Raw genomic sequence first — 18,287 nt, 5'->3', positions numbered from 1 at the left:
GTGGCAGTCATATTGCTGAAAATTTGGTAACATATAATGTTTGTGGTATTTGGCTTGGTTCTAAATGCAGTTTGTGTGTGTGTGATGTTGTTTTGCATGAAGAGGCTACATGTGGGTGTTTTGATGCCCTGTAACAGAAACCAGTGGGACTAGAAAACCTGGATCTCTTAGTGCAGGGTCAGCACCAAGTCGGAGTAAGTTCTCAAAGAGTAGGTGACGTTGTGGCGATGGCGTGCTCCTCACTTTGTCGGACTGGGCTTGTTGGGTTTCTGTTTCACTGAGGGAGGAGATTTTCTGTGCATTTGATTACGCTACATGATACTGTGCAAGCTAACACTTTGGGCTTTGGGTCTGGGAAGGAAATGTATTTTGGTTACTTATTGTATAGTTTTGTATAATTTGTATAATTTATGCCTCATTTTGAGATGCAAGTAGGAAAATGGAAAAACAAGGAACCCAAGTAATCAGCAAATGAGCTTAAGAGAAGAGTCCCTGGGAAATTAAATAATATTTGAAGCTTCAAAGCTGTATGTTTAGGTTTTAGAACATCAGATATTAGGACCCAGTGATAAGAATTCTCCATTTATTGAACTGTTTTGAAATTTCATTTTTTAATTGCTTTAAGACGTCCTTAACTTGACGTCTTATAATACAGTTCGATAGTTGAATGAGACCATTCTGAAGTGAAAACAAAACAAATTAACTAGAAGTGATCTTAGCTATCATCCCATCCATCCTTTTTATTTTGCTGATGAATCCAGTAACTTGTGATAAAAGTCATATCTTGCTCTCAGAATTCTCCATGTCTCTCTGTGGAGTTAGCACATAATATATACTGGCTGGCTGGTGGGCTGGCTGAGATAGTATTTGCTAAAAAACTTAAACCTTTTGACCACAGTATTTGTGAAGAAAGTCTTGGTGGAAGATGTTAGAGTGACTCTTCGTTTTGGGATTTAAAAGCTTAGCCATTCTTCTGTGAGTTGTTAGATGCTACTGCTTGCTATTCTAAAAGCTTCTGATGTGTAAAATATTCTATAGGTATAAAACCTTTTGATGTGTAAAATGTCTTTTTTGTTACACATTCTCAAGCTGGTAGTCTCTTTTACCATTACTTTGGGAGCATTATGTAATTGCTATTTGAGAGTCAACAGAAAAATGAATAAAGAGGAATTATTGTTGCCAATAGACGCTGTTCTCCATACACCAAGTTAAATAAAACATGAATTTTAAAGTTCTATCAAGCAACAGCTTGTCAAATTAATTATAACATTCAGTGAGTCTTTAACAACCTAAAGTAATTTATCAGGTACATTTGGAAAGACGAACTCTTTTTGTTTGAGACAAGGTCTCCCTCTATCTCCCAGGCTGGAGTGCAGTGGTGTGCTCATGGCTCACTACAGCCTCGACCTCTTGGGCTCAAGCAATCCTCCCACTTCAGCTGGGACCACAGGCATATGCTACCACACCTGGCTAATTTTTTGTAGAGTTGGAGTCCCACTCTGATGCCCAGGCTGGTCTTGAACTCTTGGACTCAAGCGATCCTCCCACCTTCATCTCCCACAGTGCTGGGATTACAGGTGTGAGCCACCATACCTGGCCAAAAAGATAAACTTTTAAAACTTAAAAAAAATTTTTAAAAATGAATTGTGGCTACTTCCCATGTGTAGAGCTGGGTCTGGCAGCTAACATTTTGTTCATGTGGGACTCAGGCAAATTTGTTTCTGAATTAAAGGAATTTCCTATCCTCATTTCTGGCTTCATGCCATGAGTGCCAGTGCCAGCTGACAGAGCCATCTGCAGGACTCTGTAGTAGAGTGGGAGCCAGGTGAAAGTGAGCCAGGCCTGCAGATGTAGTTTTTGTTAGGTGAAAACTTAGCAGAAGCGTGTCCAGTCCTGGAGATTGTCCATTCTCAGTTTATTTGGAGACTTTAAGATGGTAGAACAATGACAGGTTTCTAGAAACCTTGTGTTTAGTACAAAAAGTGGCTTGTCTGTGAGACCTCCTTTTGAGATGTTCAAAAGAATGTGAATATACTGGAACTTTGCAGGAATAATTTCTTCTGTGATTCCAAAATCTTCAGATTTGGAGGAAATAATTCAAATAATTGTATTGATTTCATCCATTCCTTCCACTAATGTTTACTGAGCATTTCTAATGTGCCCTGCACTGATTTGGATACCAGACAACATGGACATAATTCCCTGACCTCACAGAGCTTCCGGTGGGGGAGACAGACACACACAGAAGTTAAATATGTCAGACAGTGATATGAGCTACGGGGAAAACTAAAACAGGGAAGGGGATGGGAATTGTGCTGAGGGGTAAGGGAACCATGTCAGGACCTGGGGTCTTGTACTACTTGTGGTGACTGATTGTACCCACAGGCATGAAATAGAACAGTCATTTACATATTGTGGCTGACTGTGCTGTCATAGTTACTACTACCATTATCACAGTCACCGTCAGAAAGCATTTACCCCACGCCTCTTAGCAAGGTTTTATACAGAATGAGTCATACAGCTAAGTGTTTGTCCTCAAGACTGACAGCCCTTACGTGTACACATGCAGATAACTTACTAATGATGAATAGAAATTCCAACAATTGTATTCGTTCAACAAATGTTTATTGAATGATGGGGTATACAAGGCATTGTGGAGGACAGCAAGATAAATCACATATGTATCTTCCCAAAGGGGCATATAGTTCAGTATAGTCATAGAGCAGGTCATTTGCATGTCAGTGATTTAATTTGAGATAGACCATGAAAGTCTATGTCATATGCTGATTTCGCATTTTTGCCGAGGCATAATTTTGAGTCAGCTGCTTTGGGAGGCTGGTATGGGGTAACTAATGTCGGAGTGTGTGTTTAGCCATTTCCCTGTGTCCACATTTCAGTGAGGAATTGTTTCTACCTATTGCTGAATATGTTAAATGCCTTTGAAGTAAAATATGCTTTTTTTTTTTTGGTGAAAAATTGCTCTGAGAAGAAAGCCAGCTTCTAGAGTTGGTGATGGAAGTGCTGAATCTAAGATGTGATTGATGTTCCTTGGTCAGTACATGGAATCATTGAGGGCCTCAAGGAAATACTTAGCATTTTGCTGCCCTTATCAGGGAAATTTTATGCTGTACTAGTGTTTGCCAGCTTGGACGTGAACCCCTCGTGAATATATTTTTTGGATAGATCTTGATAAAGGCCTTAATGGGAATGTGGACACAGCAGAATTTATCTCCCTTGCTTGAAGCAGAGGTGCGTCTTCTGGGCCCTAATATCAGATTCTTCCCTTTCCTTCACAAATAAAGCATCAACCATGTTTATGTGAGGGTTCCTCATGTTTATCATCTATATGGGACCAAAAGTTTGCTACATAGAAACATAGTTTTTTTATATATGTATGTATACACACACATATACATATGCAGCCTTAGAAACAGAGCAAGAGAAAGCTTGGAAGGGGGAGGAAGAGCTGTAAAATACCATGGCAGAAGCTATTGGCTTCTCAGCATAATCCATGTTTTCCTCTTCCTGAGCCCACAGCAAGAATGCATTTCCCAGCCTCCTTTGGAGTTAGGTACAGCCACGTGCCTGAATTCCAGCAAAGGGGTGACCACAGTGAAAACAGCTGAGCCCATCAGCTTGAATCCCTAGTTCAGCGTGAGGAAGAGGAACACCTCATTCACCAGTTCTCTGTCATGGGAGCAAGAACAAAGTTCGGAGGTGTTTGAGCCATTATAGAGAAGTCAGGGATATATTTTGACAGTGATGAGTTTGGATCATAATCCTGAGTGTCATAATCCTGAATGTTGAAGTTCTGAACATCAAAATCCCAAAAGATCAAAATCCCTAAAGTCCAAAGTCCCTCATGTCTAAAGTTCTGAAAATCACAATCACAGGATGTTAATGTTAGGCCAGCTCTTATGGGCTGTCTCTGTGCGATTGTCCAAAATCTTTCCCTGTAATATACATTTTTACATGTTGAATTTTCTTTTCAGTTATTTAGCTTTTTTTTTTTTAGTTTTTTCCCTACTATTTTAAATTTGTAGAATTATTTTTTACAGTTCACTATGCTATGTATTTTATTTTTTCATCACTTCCAATATTGGAGTAATAAATTGTATAGAGACTTTTAGAGAGTTCGAATCCCTTTTATGCAATTTTTGCAAATTTGACTCCACAAAAGTGTAGTATCACCATGTTGAGTTTGTGTGTAAGCATTCTGTGTGCACGTGAAAATGTTGCAACTTTCTCAGCAAATAAAGAGATGTTCTTTTTGTACATCTGCATTTGCGAAGGATACAATTTCTTGATCTCAGCTCTTTGGATGACTGCATAAGTGGTGGTGACCCATCGTGGTTTTTGATCAATCTCATCAGAAGACTTAGGTTGTTCATCACAGTATTTCAGATGATTGCAGTCATAAAGCCAGGTGCAAACAATGACCAACCATAGTGATGTGCATTTATATAGTTCCCCTTTTGAATTATTTCATTTTGAATATGGTTTGTCTGCTCATAATTGTTATACCCATGCAACTGTTGTTAGCATACTTGAGTGTTTTTGCTTTCAAAAGTATGTATATTGTTATTGTCCATTTTATTGTGTTAAGTGACCTAGGAAGTGTTGTGTCATATCTTTGTTTCTCAAATAAATCCCCTTTTAAAAAGGTAAATAAATGTCTTTTAATGAGTCTTTAAATTTTTTTTTAAGAATTATATTTGCAGGATTTTGAGATTTCACTGAGATTGTGTCTTTTGGGATTATGATCAGCTCCCGCAGTGACTAGTCTTTCCTGACTAATACTGTGACTGTGTGGTAAGTGAGAGCAGTAAAGACAACAGTTTCAGAGCTGGGATCTGTCTTCATCAGTTTACTGGACCTGGTTGTTTCCATCCGAATGGCAGAGTCAGTGCTCATGGATGAGGATATTTATGCTCCTAGGCCCAGGCTGTGTGTGTGCTTGTTACTGCACTCACCTTAATTGCTTATAGAAAGCTATGCTTCTTGCTGCGCACTCCCCAGTAGCTGAGTGTAGAATCTAGGGAATGTGAACTGACCCTTGATTTTTCTTCCTCTTTCCCTCTTTTCCTCAATTATTTTAGTCCCTATCTTGTGCTAGGTGGTATCGGGATACATAGAAATGAAAGAAACATGGACTCTGCCCTCAAAGAGCTAACAACCCTAGTTGACCAGATTGCCTCAAGTGGGACTCCCACTGGAACCAAATTATTTAAACAATAAATGACTTTGTCAGGAGCTGAGAGGTATATTAGTTTCAGGTGCTGTTTCTTTGTTCCTCCTAATCCAGTCAGTTTTGCCCTTGAAACTTATTTCAGGTGGTCAACCACAAGGTCCAGTACACACCCATGCTTAGTATTGCCCTTCCCTCCCCCATGTGTATAATTCTCACATAGACCCTTGAGCAGTGCAGCAAGTTGTCTAGAGAAAGTTGATTGAGTGCTCTTTTCCCTTTGAATTCCATCGAACTGGGCCCGCATGGAAGAAGCAAAATTGTTACTTTGCTAAATATTGGGAATGGTGGATAGTGAGGTGAGGGGATTGGCATGTGTAGCCTGAGAAAATCCTACTCAGCCGTTTTAGTTGTAGTTTCAGCAGATTCAGTGGCTCCCTTTGTTTGGCCTATCACTGTATTTCAAGTTAGAATTTGAGGATCAGCTGCCTTCTTCTTTTTTGGCAATCTCCCTCTTCAATTTGCACGATCACTCACATTCGCTCTTGTTAATGTCAACTTGTCTGGTGTACTCCTTTGAGGTAGGCACCAGGCCTCAACTCTCTTTGTATTCTTTCTGCTAGTCCTTTACTCCAGAGCATAAACAGTGCTTTATATATTATGTATGGCACAATAAATGTTTAATGAATGAATGAGTTACTTAAATTTCTTAAACTGGGAGAGCTGCTTGAGCTAGTTTCATACTTTCACCAAGTATGAATAGGTCTTTCCCTGGGGAACATCATTTCCTGCTGCCATTGTGTTGCTGTCAATTCATGTGATGTTTTGTCTTGTTGTTGTGACACTGGCCTGGCCTTGGCCAGTAACAGGAGTCATCCAGCATGAGATTTAAGAAGGGAAAGTGATGACATGCTAAGTGGTTGCTGTATCAGTGTAGTAGGATGTGATCCAAAAGGTACTTACAGTGGGCATGTCTGGTGGATGGTACTGAACCACATTCTTATGCTTTTCTCAGCAAAAGAATTTTCTTATGTTACATGTACTGTATGACTCAATCTAATAAAAGAACAACAGATTCATCTTTTCCTGCCCGGTAGCTAGGTTTGTACCTTAGGTCCTGCTTGACTCACTGAAGGTTCCAGAGAATTCTCTGAAAATGGATGCATGCACACCCATAATTTGACTTGTTTCCCTAATAAAATTACAGCTGAAAACTTTCCCTGGAGGACTTGTTATGCTTCTTCCTAAAAGCACATTTCAATAATGACGACAAAAGAATGGTGATTTAGAATTACCCTAAAGGCTAGGAGAGAAGATATTTCACAGGAAGAGGCTCTGCTCTCCTTGGTATTAGAGGTTTCATCACTTGCTCCTTTGAGCACCTGTGGGACTCCTGTCTACAGCTTCCTTTATTTTTAGGCTTAACAACTGGTCTCCTCCCCTCCAGCTCAGAGGTCATTTAGAAAGAAACTGGCCAGAGCTTTTCTCTGATCTTGCTGTTCTTGCTTCTTTTGTCAGTTTAAGATTCTTTTGCCGAAAGTCAGTGAAGCAGATCATCTTCACATCTTTGATTCCTTGACCTTTACATTTAAGAATCTGTACATTAGGCCGGCCGCGGTGGCTCACATCTGTAATCCCAGCACTTTGAGAGGCCGAGGCGGGTGGATCACCTGAGGTCAGGAGTTTGAGACCAACCTGGCCAACATGGTGAAACCCCGTCTCCACTAAAAATACAAAAATTAGCTGGGCGTGGTGGCACACGCCTGTAATACCAGCTACTTGGAAGGCTGAGGCAGGAGAATCACTTGAACCTGCCCAGCCTGGGCAACAAGAGTGAAACTCCATCTTAGAAAAAAAAAAAGAATCTGTACATTTAAAAACATTTCAGTGCTGACTTGTTGCTTAACTTTGACCAAATTTGCAAAGATGGGGAAATTACTGTTTCTTCAACAGGACTTAGAAAGTCATAAGAATGGCCAGGCATGGTGGCTCACACCTGTAATCCCAGCACTTTGAGAGGCCGAGGCACATGGATCACGAGGTCAGGAGATCGAGACCATCCTGGTTAACCTGGTGAAACCCCGTCTCTGCTAAAAATACAAAAAATTAGCTGGCTGTGGTGGCACGTGCCTATAGTCCCAGCTACTTGGGAGGCTGAGGCAAGAGAATCGCTTGAACCCAGGAGGTGGAGGTTGCAGAGAGCCAAGATCACACCACTGCACTCCAGCCTGGGCGACAGAGCGAGACTGTGTCTCAAAAAAAAAAAAAAAAAAGTCATAAGAATTTAACTGTATGGGATTCTCTGTCATAAATTAACTTTAAAAAATTGTTAAAGTTGGAAGTAGGAAGTTTATTACCTTTTTGTGAAATAGTCTGTCATGATCAATAGTGAAGAATTTAATTTTTTTCTGAATTTTAATTCACTTATAGTATCCTGAAAGTATTAATCTAGCCTCATCTACTTATGTGAAATAATTTTAGAGAATGTCCTCATGAAGTATCCATATGTTGGGTTACAAGAAAAGCACCTAGTTTATGATATACGTAAATTGATGCCCTTTCTAACCTTGACTGGTGTTGTGTGTCCATATTTCATAGTGGCTTAAGTGATGTTGCAAGTAATAGCCTGAGACTCTAGCCTAGTGACTCTACATATACATTTTAGATGAAAGACCTGGAGAAGGTACATGTTTGAATAGGAAATAATTATGGATAAGTTGAATAATATGCTTTATTGTAGAAGATAATGCTATCGTCTGCCCTCATTATATTCATTGTAATGGAAAAATAAATTGCCACACCAAAGGCCTGCTTACTTCACTTCCTGTAAACATGTCCCATGTGCAAGAAAAATTACAAGGCATGCCAAAAGGCAAGAAAAACACAGTCTGAAGAGACAAAGTAATGATCGAGCCCAGATTTTGAAACAGATGTTGGAATTATCAGACAAGGAATTTAAAAGAACTCTGATACATTAAGGGTTCTAATGGAAAAAAATAGACAACATGCAAGAACAGATGGGTAATATAAGCAGAGAGATTGAAACTCTAAGAAAGAATCAAAAGAAGATGTTAGAAATAAAAACCACAGTTACCGAAATGAAGAATGGTGGAGCTGAAAGTTCCAACCCTCTAATCATGCCTTGGTCCTTCTGGCAACCAACCCCTATTCTGAAGCTATCTAGGGACCCAAAAGAGTCATCTTGTTAGCATAAACTCTGGTATGGTTGAAAGTGATTTGTTATGAATTTTAAAAGCTACTCCTATCACTCAGGAAATGCCACAGGTTTTAGGAGATCTATGCCAGGGACTGTATAGTCAGAATGCCCTGTATGTATGAATTCTTGTGAGTCTTATGCATTAGATGGTGAGCTATTTTAAGGCAAGGACCTTAAGTCTCCTTGCATTCTACTCAGCACATTAATCACTCAGTAAGTCCTTGTTGAGAAGGATCTAATCATCAAAGGCAGAGGCAAAAAGACAGACATTCAAATATTTGTTGTTCCAAGAGAAAAAGCCTCCGTCTTTACATTCTTCCCATGGTTATGCAGAGGTAAAGGGGACATTTCCCCTTTTTCCTCTGAAGGTTCACTGAAAAATCAATTCACAAAAGCAGATAAATTGGAGAAAAAGCATCCAAGTTTATTTATCGTGAACAAGCAGGAGCCTTCCAAATGAAGACCCAAAGATAGAGGGGAAATTGTCCATTTCTGTGCTTAGGTTCAACAAAGTATGGACAGCTGTAGTAAAATAAAACTGGACAAAAAGGGTAAGATCTAATGCTAACAGGTTGAGTAGGGAAACTCAGCAAGGCCTGGCTGTCTGGATTCTTCTTGGCCTCTCTGATCATGCATTCCTTCCTTCTCGGTGTGGGGCAGGGTTCTCTCTGGAATGGGGGTCTTGTGTCCTATGTTAAACTCTAACTTTCCCTCTGCATTTCTGTGTAAAACTGACTAAAGATAATTTCTTTATGGTCAGTTTTACACAGAAATGCAGAGGGGAAGTTAGAGTTATAGGTTTTTTGGGTGGCTGTAGGGAAGAAGGTTCTGGTTTTAATGACTTCCCGTAGGGAAGAGAAATTTCAGTTTCTATGGCTAGCCTAGGGGCAGAATGGGACCAGAAGACAGGAGGGCAGGAGGAGGTCACAGAGAAACTTTTGCTTCTGAGGCCTTCATTTTGGGGTATTGTTTTCCAAGTCCCAGCCATTGGCAAATCATAGACTATAAACTGCCAGAGCCTAACCCAGTCCTAACATTTCAAAAAAAAAAAAAGGCCAGGCACGGTGGCTCACACCTGTAATCCCAGCATTTTGGGAGGCCGAGGCGGGCGTATCACGAGGTCAGGAGATCGAGACCATCCTGGCTAACATGGTGAAACCCCGTCTCTACTAAAAATACAAAAAAATTAGCCAGGCGTGGTGGCAGGCGCCTGTAGTCCCAGCTACTACTGAGGCTGAGGCAGGAGAATGGCGTGAGCCTAGGAGGTGGAGCTTGCAGTGAGCCGAGATCCTGCCACTGCACTCCAGCCTGGGTGGTAGAGCAAGACTCCGTCTCAAAAAAAAAAAAAATTATTTGAAGCGTGTCCTACAAAACTTTAAATAAATTATCTCAGGCCAATATGGTGATGTCCCCAGGGATTATAAGCGGAAAAACTCGTATAATTTGTAACCAAAACAACCTAACATATTAGCATCTTTGTCCAAATAGCTAAATCAGTGTTGTCCTTACAGACACGGGCACATAACACTATTCTTCCTGCTAGGATCTGTGTTGTGTTTATGATTTGTTGTAGCTAGAGGTATTAGAGGCTTCAGTTTACTCCTGTGAACTTGTTTTTGTCTCCCCTCTGGGCTTTGGGCTTTTCTGATACTGCTCCGAGGAGACTGTCTATATATTGCAACTCTTTCAGCTATAATCCTCTGTTTTTAAACTGAAGTCTTTTGGGGGTAGTGGCACCCCCAAAAAGTTGTACCTTCTATAGTCTTCAGATGTCACCTCCTGTGACCATTCTACCCACACATCAGACCTAATCCCTTTGGATTCCCGTAACATTGTATTCATATCTGCTAATGTCACATAATACGCCATCCCATTACAGTTTCTTTCATAGCCCATCTGTGAGCTTCTTTAGAGCAGCATTCATGTTTTAGTCTATCTTTTTTTATATCCTAGATAATAGCATGGACAATCAATACATGTTGTTGGTTTGAATGAAAAAGTTCTTTTCTTTCAGCACTCTGAAGATCGCACTCCATGCTTCTCTTACTTGCATGGTTTCTGGTGAGCACTCTGCTGTCAATTGCTCTCGTGTTCCTCTGTAAGTAGGATATTCTTTTCCTTCTGGCTTCTTTATAGATTTTCACTTCCTTCTTGGTTTTCTGCAGTCTGAATAAGATACGCCTAAGGGTGGTTTTTTGGGGTATTATGGTATAGTGAGGAATGTACACAGACAATCCCTGACTTATGATGGTTTGACTAACAGTTTTTCAGCTGTACAATGGGTTTATTGGGGTGTTAAATGCATGTTCAACTTACTGTATTTTTAACTTACAGTTGGTTTATTGGACCATAACTTCATTGTAAGTTCAGCATCTGTATATTAATTATAAAAATGTATGTATATATGTATATAATACGTAACTTGAAGGGATATGTGTTCACTGGTTTGAGAGCAAGGAATATACGTAGTTAAGGTTGAAGGCATTATTTTCTCCCATAAGAATAGTATTTTTGTCAATTTCTTGGAAATGGCCAAGGTTTAGCTTTTTATCCCTTGAATATTGAAGACAGACTATTGATTTTTTAAGGAGAATTCATTGAAGTTTTTATGTATGGTAAAATAATATTACCCAAATAGTTTCCTTTCAAAACAAACACAAAAAAGGCAACTTCCTCTAGGTTAGGGCCTGGATCGTAGTAACACTTACATCTTCAGTGTCTGCCAAGCCTGCGGTAGGTGTTCAGTAAATTCAGATTGATATGTACAAATTTATGAGTTCTAACAGTTGGGCCAAAGTAGCTGAGCTTTGTTTTTTTTACCTCCTGTAAAAGAGTCCTACACAAGAGGTCATGCTCTCTATTCAAGTAGTAGTCATTCTCTAGTAACATGTAATTTGATTGAAAGAGCTTTTGTTATTCCCTGAACTTGATCTGAGATTTCTCCAGCTATCAGTGGGCAGTTTTTCTTTTATTTCCAATATTTCTGTAATCTTTAGCTCAGCCAGTAAACAAAAACACCGAAGTTCAGACTTTTCATCTCTAATTAATGCATAAGAATATATGCGTAAGAATATATTATTTTGACTTTATTGAAAAAATTACTTTTTTGCTTAAAATAACCCCTTCCCACTTCCTAGACAACCATATACAAAGACAATCAACATAATAACCCAAGAAATGCACATTTTAATAACATGCCATTTTTCATTTATCAGATTGGCAACAACTAGTACAACTGATAATACCTAGTATTGGACAGAAAAAATGCAGTCTTACACACTAGGGGTAGAGGGTTAATTAAAATTAGTACATTTTGGAAGAATATTGGACATATCTATCAACATTTTAAATATGTATCAATTTCTAACAACTTCTACAAGAATATTTGCACAGATGCACAATGGTGGTTATATTTTTTACCATTGAAAAATTGGAAAGAGTGTGAATATCCACTAATAGGAAAATGGTCAAGTAAAATATGACATATTTGTATAAAGAAATATAGTTTTTAAAAATAGGATATGTTCTCTCTTTTTATATACACACAAGCTATATAATATATATAATTTTTTCAGGTAAAAAGAAAAGTTGTACTTAATAATGTTCCATTGAATTTTCCATATGTGTGAATTATATATTCATAGGAAGAAGTCTAGGAGATTGTACGGCATGCTGTTAACAATAGTTATCTCTGAAGGGTGGATTTACAGCAGCCTTTTATTTTCTACTTTGTGCATTTTTGTATTGCTTATATAACCAAAAGAATTATAAATATTTTAAAATACTTATTCAGTGCTCTTTAGGAGTAGGGCGCTTAGCTCTGGATTGGGGATACAAAGGTGCATGATAAGACTTGATACTGAGCACTAGGAGTTTATGGCTTAGTCAATAAACACAGGGAAACAAATACATACAGTAGTATCCATGGGTACTGATAGAAGTTGCAAAATATTCAGTAGGAATAAGGATTCGTTTGATTGAGTAGGAATTGGGCATGAAAGAGAATAAGAAAGCTGCCATAGAAGAGGTTTGAACTGAACCTTGAAAAATGTGATGCTTGATTTGGTATTTGATGGTTGAATAGATGGCAGAGGGAGCATGAGAGAGTAAAGGCCTGGATGATGGTGTCAGGTTTGAGTTTTGGAAGTACAAGAAGGTTGACTTGGCTTCAGTTCATGAGCACCTGCGTATGTGAGTGTTGTTGTTGGGGAAATGGTGAGGGCTACGCACATAGAAAAGAGAAGACAGGATTCTGGCCTGTGAGTCAGGAAATTGCCCCTTCCTGAGTCTGACATATGCATGCTGTGTGAATCTCCATAAAGTCACTTTCCCTCTGGACGTCAGTTACTTAATCTGTAAAATGAGAGGTTGAACTAGATTAGTGGCGTCATATGCTTTTACTTTTTTCCCTTTCTTTCTTTAGCTGTCATTTCCCAGGAAGGGTGTATTTCAATTCATTCTTGTGTCTTTGTATGCTCTGGAGCTAAGTCTTGGTACCAAAATTTCCCTCTCCCCTGCGTTCCCTTCTCTTTTTTTTTTTTTTTTTTTTTTGAGACAGAGTTTCACTCATTTCTCTCTTGTTGCCCAGGCTGAAGTACAATGGCGCGATCTTGGCTCACCGCAGCCTCTGTCTCCCGGGTTCAAGCGATTCTCCTGCCTCAGCCTTCCAAGTAGCTGGGATCACAGGCACGTGCCACCATGCCTGGCTAATTTTATAATTTTTTTTAGTAGAGACGGGGTTTCTCCATGTTGGTCAGGCTGGTCTCAAACTGGCGACCTCAGTTGATCCACCTGCCTCAGCCTCCCAAAGTGCTGGGATTACAGGCTTGAGCCTTTTTTTTAATTTTATTTTTAATTTTTTATTTTTTTTAAGGAGAGAAGCAAAGAGGCCCTGTGTGATGTCAAGAATAAGACAGTTGAAATTTAACTGAAACTTACTGGAGAAGTGATTTTGTGAATTATTGTTTTTAATGAGCTTCTAGGGCAATAGCAGAGGAGAACAAAGCTGAGAGGTTCAGGTATAGGAAGCCCAGTTAGGTTGACAGTTGCAAGTTTACCAAGGAATTTGGTGTGAGGAAGAAATTCCTAAGGACTAAAACCTTGAGCCACAAAACGTTATGATCTACTCAGCACAAATAAGTATAGTAAATAGCCAAGAAGCATTAAAAAATTAATCTAGGAGCTTTTGTCTAGAATTCAATTCATAAGTACATTTAATGTATGGAAGGTATACATTATATTTTGATCAACAAAATATATGTAGGTTTATTACTTTTACCCATGAAGTTATAAAACTACAAGAAAATTCAGCCATTTCTTTTATTATTTCAACTACTTGGGGTGGGGAGGGGGAGAATGAGTTCCAAATATGGAATCCCCTCTACAATTTATATAGTAAATCTACATATATAGATCAACATAAAGATTTTTACCTAATTGATGCACTTTTCTTTCCATTTGAGTTCTGAAAGCAGTGTTCAGATTTGTAATATACAGTTTCTAAAATCTGGTGTGTAAGGTTTGTGAAAAGACAGTAATAAAGTAAGTTTACTGGGATCTCAGTACACAGCTTACTTTAGAACAGACATTGAATTAGACTAGTCCTCTAAAAGGGAAAGATATGGGCTGGTAAACATTCAAGGGTATTTAGTTACTATGTTTCTAAGGTAGTTTTTTTTGTTCATGTGCTTGGCCCATGAATGAATCCCAGAGATAGAAGTTTTATTTCCAAGAAGTTTATTTTCTAGGAGCTAGGATAATTTGGATACCCTTAAAAGAAAAATATTTTTACCAGTTTTGTTAGGAAGTCCATAGAAGGTAAGAATAATGCTATTTTCTTTAAAATTTCTGCTGTGCTGAAGATTGGGTCTAGTGGCTCACTGCAAAAAATCCCACCTTCTTTAAGAAGTATTTCCAAATCTCCCTAGTAGGAATTAATCTATACATTCTCATTTATGGGTTCATCCATTCATGCAAAAAAAAAACTATTATTGAGCACTTGCTCTGTGGAATTAAAACTGTGAGCAAGATAAACATAGTTCCTGCTGCTGTGGTCTGAATATGCCCCCAAAATTCGTATGCTGAATCTAATCGCTAATATGATGGTTGCAGAAAGTGGGGCCTTTGGGAAGTGACTAGGTCACGAGGGCAGATTTCTTGTGAATGTGATTATTATCCTTATAAAAGAGGCCCCAGAGAACTGCCTTGTTCCTTCTACCATGTGAGTACACAGCTACAAGGCACCATCTATGAAGTAGGAAATGGGTCTTTGTCAGACAGCAAATCTGCTGATGCCTTGATCTTGGACTTCTTAGCCTCCCGAAAAGTGAGAAATAAGTTTTTGTTGTTTATAAGCTACCTAGTCTATGGAATTTTGTGTGTGTGGTTTTTTTTTTTTTTTTTTTGACATGGAGTCTCACTCTGTCACCTAGGCTAGAGTAGTGCAGTGGCGTGATCTCAGCTCACTCCAGCCTCTGCCTCCCGGGCTCAAGTGACCCACCTGCCTCAGCCTCCCAAGTAGCTGGGACAACAGATGTGAGCCACCACACCCAGGTAATTTTCATATTTTTGGTAGAGACAGGGTTTTACTCTGTTGCTCAGGATGGTCTCAAACTCCTGACCTCAGGTGATCTGCCCGCCTCAGCCTCCCAAAGTGCTGAGATTAAAGGCGTGAGCCACCACACTCGGCCATATAGAATTTTGTAATAGCAACCAGAATGGAGTAAGCCACCTGCCTTTCTAGAATTCATGGATTCATGGGGGAGTATTGGGCAACTACACAGTGTTAACAGGTAGTATTATTACTGCTACAATGGAAGAAGTTCAGGCTGGATACACATCTGGAAAGACTTCTTGGAGAAAGTGCTATCTAAGCCAAGTAGTAGTTAACTGGAGGAGCAGAGATGGTTAGGGGCAATATACAAGGCTGGGGAAATAGCTTTGTGAAGGGATTGAAAGAGTGGAAAGGAAATTCAGAGTGGTTTGAGCTTGGTGCATGAGGGAGAAGGAAGTAGTGTCAAGAACAAAAGTTAGAGAAATAGTGGCTCTAGGACCCTGAGAGCCTTATCAAACCCACTCTCCTGATGGCATTAGTGAGCTATTAAGTTGATGACAGACATTCTAGAAAAATCACAGTAGATGCCATGTACAGAATGTATTAGATGGAGGCAAGAAGGTCATCACCGTTAAAGGTCGGAGGTAAGAAATCAATCCCACAATCCCATTTTTAGAGTCTCTTTCTTCAGAACTACTCCTGGTACCAAGTACTTCATGAGTCAGGGTCCAGTCAGAAGAGAGAAGCAAAGTATGTATTTCAGATACTACCTGAGGTGATTTAACATAGGGAACTGGGGACCTGGGATATTTGATGGCTGAAAATGTAAATAGTGGAAGCAGAGGCTATACATAGAGAGAGACTGGTAACTCCAGGAAGCAGCTGCCATCCCTGCAGCTGGGAGGGACAAGAGGGAGTGGGTGATGTTAGCTAAACCAAGAAAACTCATAGGGGCTACCACAGAGCTGATGTGCTGATTGCTAAGGAGGTACTTGGATCTCTGGGGGAGGATTGCCTTCTTGCTGGTACTCAGACTATCAAGGGAGGGTCCAAGGCTGGTACACAGAGTACTTAAAGCATGGGCAGCTGGTGCTGTCTGCTACTGTACAGGCTGACAGGAGCTGGAAAACAGGAAGAGAGTTTCTTCTCTCCACCTCTGCCTTCCAGTTGCAAAAGAGTCTGGGAAATGTGGTTTGAAGACTTCTAGTCCCAATATCATAAAGCAGAATACAGAGGGTGGGCTTGGGCTGACAGACTGCTGGAAAATAATCTACCCCAGGCATTTCAGAAAAGTAACTCTACCTATGTACTGTGGGAAGTGGGTTGGAAGGAGGCAAAACTGGGCACTGGTTCATTGTACAGAGGATGTTGGTAGTAATCTAGGCAGAAGATGATGGCATCTTGATTTAGAGCAATGGCAAGAAAGAGAAGCGGGTAGATGTGGAGGGATTTAGAAAGTAGAGTTGAACAGAATTGGTAATTTCCTGTGAGGGATGGGGATCAGTGAGAATAAAGGAGGGAGAGGGATTGAGAAAGCTTGAGTTTTTATTTAGGTGCATAGTGGTGCTGTTTACTGAGATAGGAACATAGGACTGGAAACCGTTTCGAGGAAGATGATTCATTCAGTTTTGGACCTACTCAGTTTGATGTGCCTGTGGCTCATCTAGGTGGAAATTCATTCTGAACATGTGGGCTGAAGGTATAGATGTGATGTGTTTTCAGCCTGTAGGTGGTACTTGAAGTCTTAGAAATGACTGAGATCACCAAAGGAGACTACAGAGTGCAAAGAGAAGAGATCATAAGCTAGATCCAAGAGGCATAACAACATTTTAGGAAAGAATACAAGCAGTGGAGAAAAGTTCCAAGCAGCAACTGTGAAAGAGTGATCAGAGATGTTGGAAGAAAACCGGAGTGTGTGGAGTCCCAGAACTAGGGAAGAATGTTAGAAGAAGTGGTCATGGTCAACAGTTCAGATGCTCTAAAGTTGACTGTTCAGTGTTGTTTGTGCTTCTGTTATCATACTCATCAAGTCTGCCTGTTTTTCAGAGTTACTTATGGTTGATTCTCCTCTAGTATCATATAGGGCTGGGATGCTGTGCTGTATATGCCTCAGCAGCTAGCATTGATGTTTCGCACATACATATGTTCTTGATTGGTGCTTATTGCATTACATTAATCCAGGGGTCAGCAAACTCCAGCTTGTGGGTCGGCCACTTGTTTTTATAAACAAAATTTTACTAGAACGCAGTGACGTCCATTCATTTATGTCTTGTCTATGACAGCTTTCACACTGTCACAGCAGAGTTGAGTAGCTATACCAACTCTGGTCTGCAAAGCTTAAAATGTTTACTAAGTGGTCCTTTATATTTGCTGACCCCTGGATTATGGTCCTGCATTAGGTGTTTTATGTCGGCTGGTAAGTTTGTGTCTTTGACCTTTTTTTTTCCTACTTATTTTTTCTTCAAATTTGTTTGAGATATTTAGAGACCATGTGGAGTGTAGACTGTGCCTTTGCAGCATTGGTCATGGTCTTGTTTGTGGTAAGGAGGCAGCAGAGCCAAGGGAAAGCAAAGCTCATGGGTAGTTAGAGCAGTCTCTTTCAGTGTGACTATGGGACTAAGTAGTACCTTTAAAAGGAAAGGCTAGGGCCAGGAAAGTGGAACAAGATGGGGAAGATGGATCTATGCATTGAAGACATGCTTTTTCAGCTCCATAATATGGAGCTATTTCCTAGCTATTGTGCTAGGTGCTGGGGTTTCTTCGGTAGCTCAGAATCTGGTTGGAAAAACAGACCGGTAAGAAGAATCTTGCAGTTCCCTACAATGTGCTTGGCACAGTGATAAAGCTGTTGGAATGTTGAGCAAAAGAGTGGCACGTAGCCCAGCCCAGGGAGAAGCAGCAGGAAGGAGAATGGTCGTATTAGGAGGAGGGCCACCAGGTGTCTGGGTTCCATATTGCCACATGCAAGCTGGGAGTGGATGTAGGGGCTGTGAGGCTTGGTGGGCCGTCTACCGCTCTCTAGTCAGAATTCCTGTGTGAGAAGCAAGCCCTCCAGGCTGTGCAGTCATGGAGAAAAGGCAGTTCTGAGAGATGTACTTATCTGTCACCAAAGTTTGTCTTCTAGGCATTCTTTCCTTTTCTTTCTTTTGTTAGATGACATATTTAGTGTGGTTTGAATTTGTGGGAATCATAACCTTGAATTGGTTGATTTTCCCCTTATGTAAAAGACAAAAGTCATCTTGCATTAATATGTCTTTTGACTGGATTTATATTGCTCTTGGGGATGATAAAAGCTCAGTGAACTGAGCATCTAACAGGCAATGAAAGTT

The 18,287-nt window shown here is 40.0% G+C and overlaps 1 protein-coding gene across 25 annotated transcripts in view; it reads left to right on the top strand.

The window, feature by feature from the left end:
• Window positions 1–18,287, top strand: part of STXBP6 (syntaxin binding protein 6) — a 240,694-nt gene that overhangs the window by 40,327 nt on the left and 182,080 nt on the right. Inside the window, exon 2 of one of the 25 annotated variants that reach the window (NM_001394412.1) lies at window positions 14,837–14,957. The exons of 23 other annotated variants lie outside the window; for them this stretch is intronic. The gene's annotated coding sequence lies outside the window, so the exon portion shown is untranslated. Of the gene's footprint in view, window positions 1–10,419; window positions 10,504–14,836; window positions 14,958–18,287 lie in introns of all 25 variants that reach the window. One more of the 25 variants, NM_001394414.1, reaches the window with a different exon arrangement.

Source organism: Homo sapiens, chromosome 14 (genome assembly GCF_000001405.40).
Source record: "Homo sapiens chromosome 14, GRCh38.p14 Primary Assembly".
NCBI classification, from domain to species: domain Eukaryota; kingdom Metazoa; phylum Chordata; class Mammalia; order Primates; family Hominidae; genus Homo; species Homo sapiens.
This window is presented reverse-complemented; position numbering and strand designations above follow the sequence as displayed.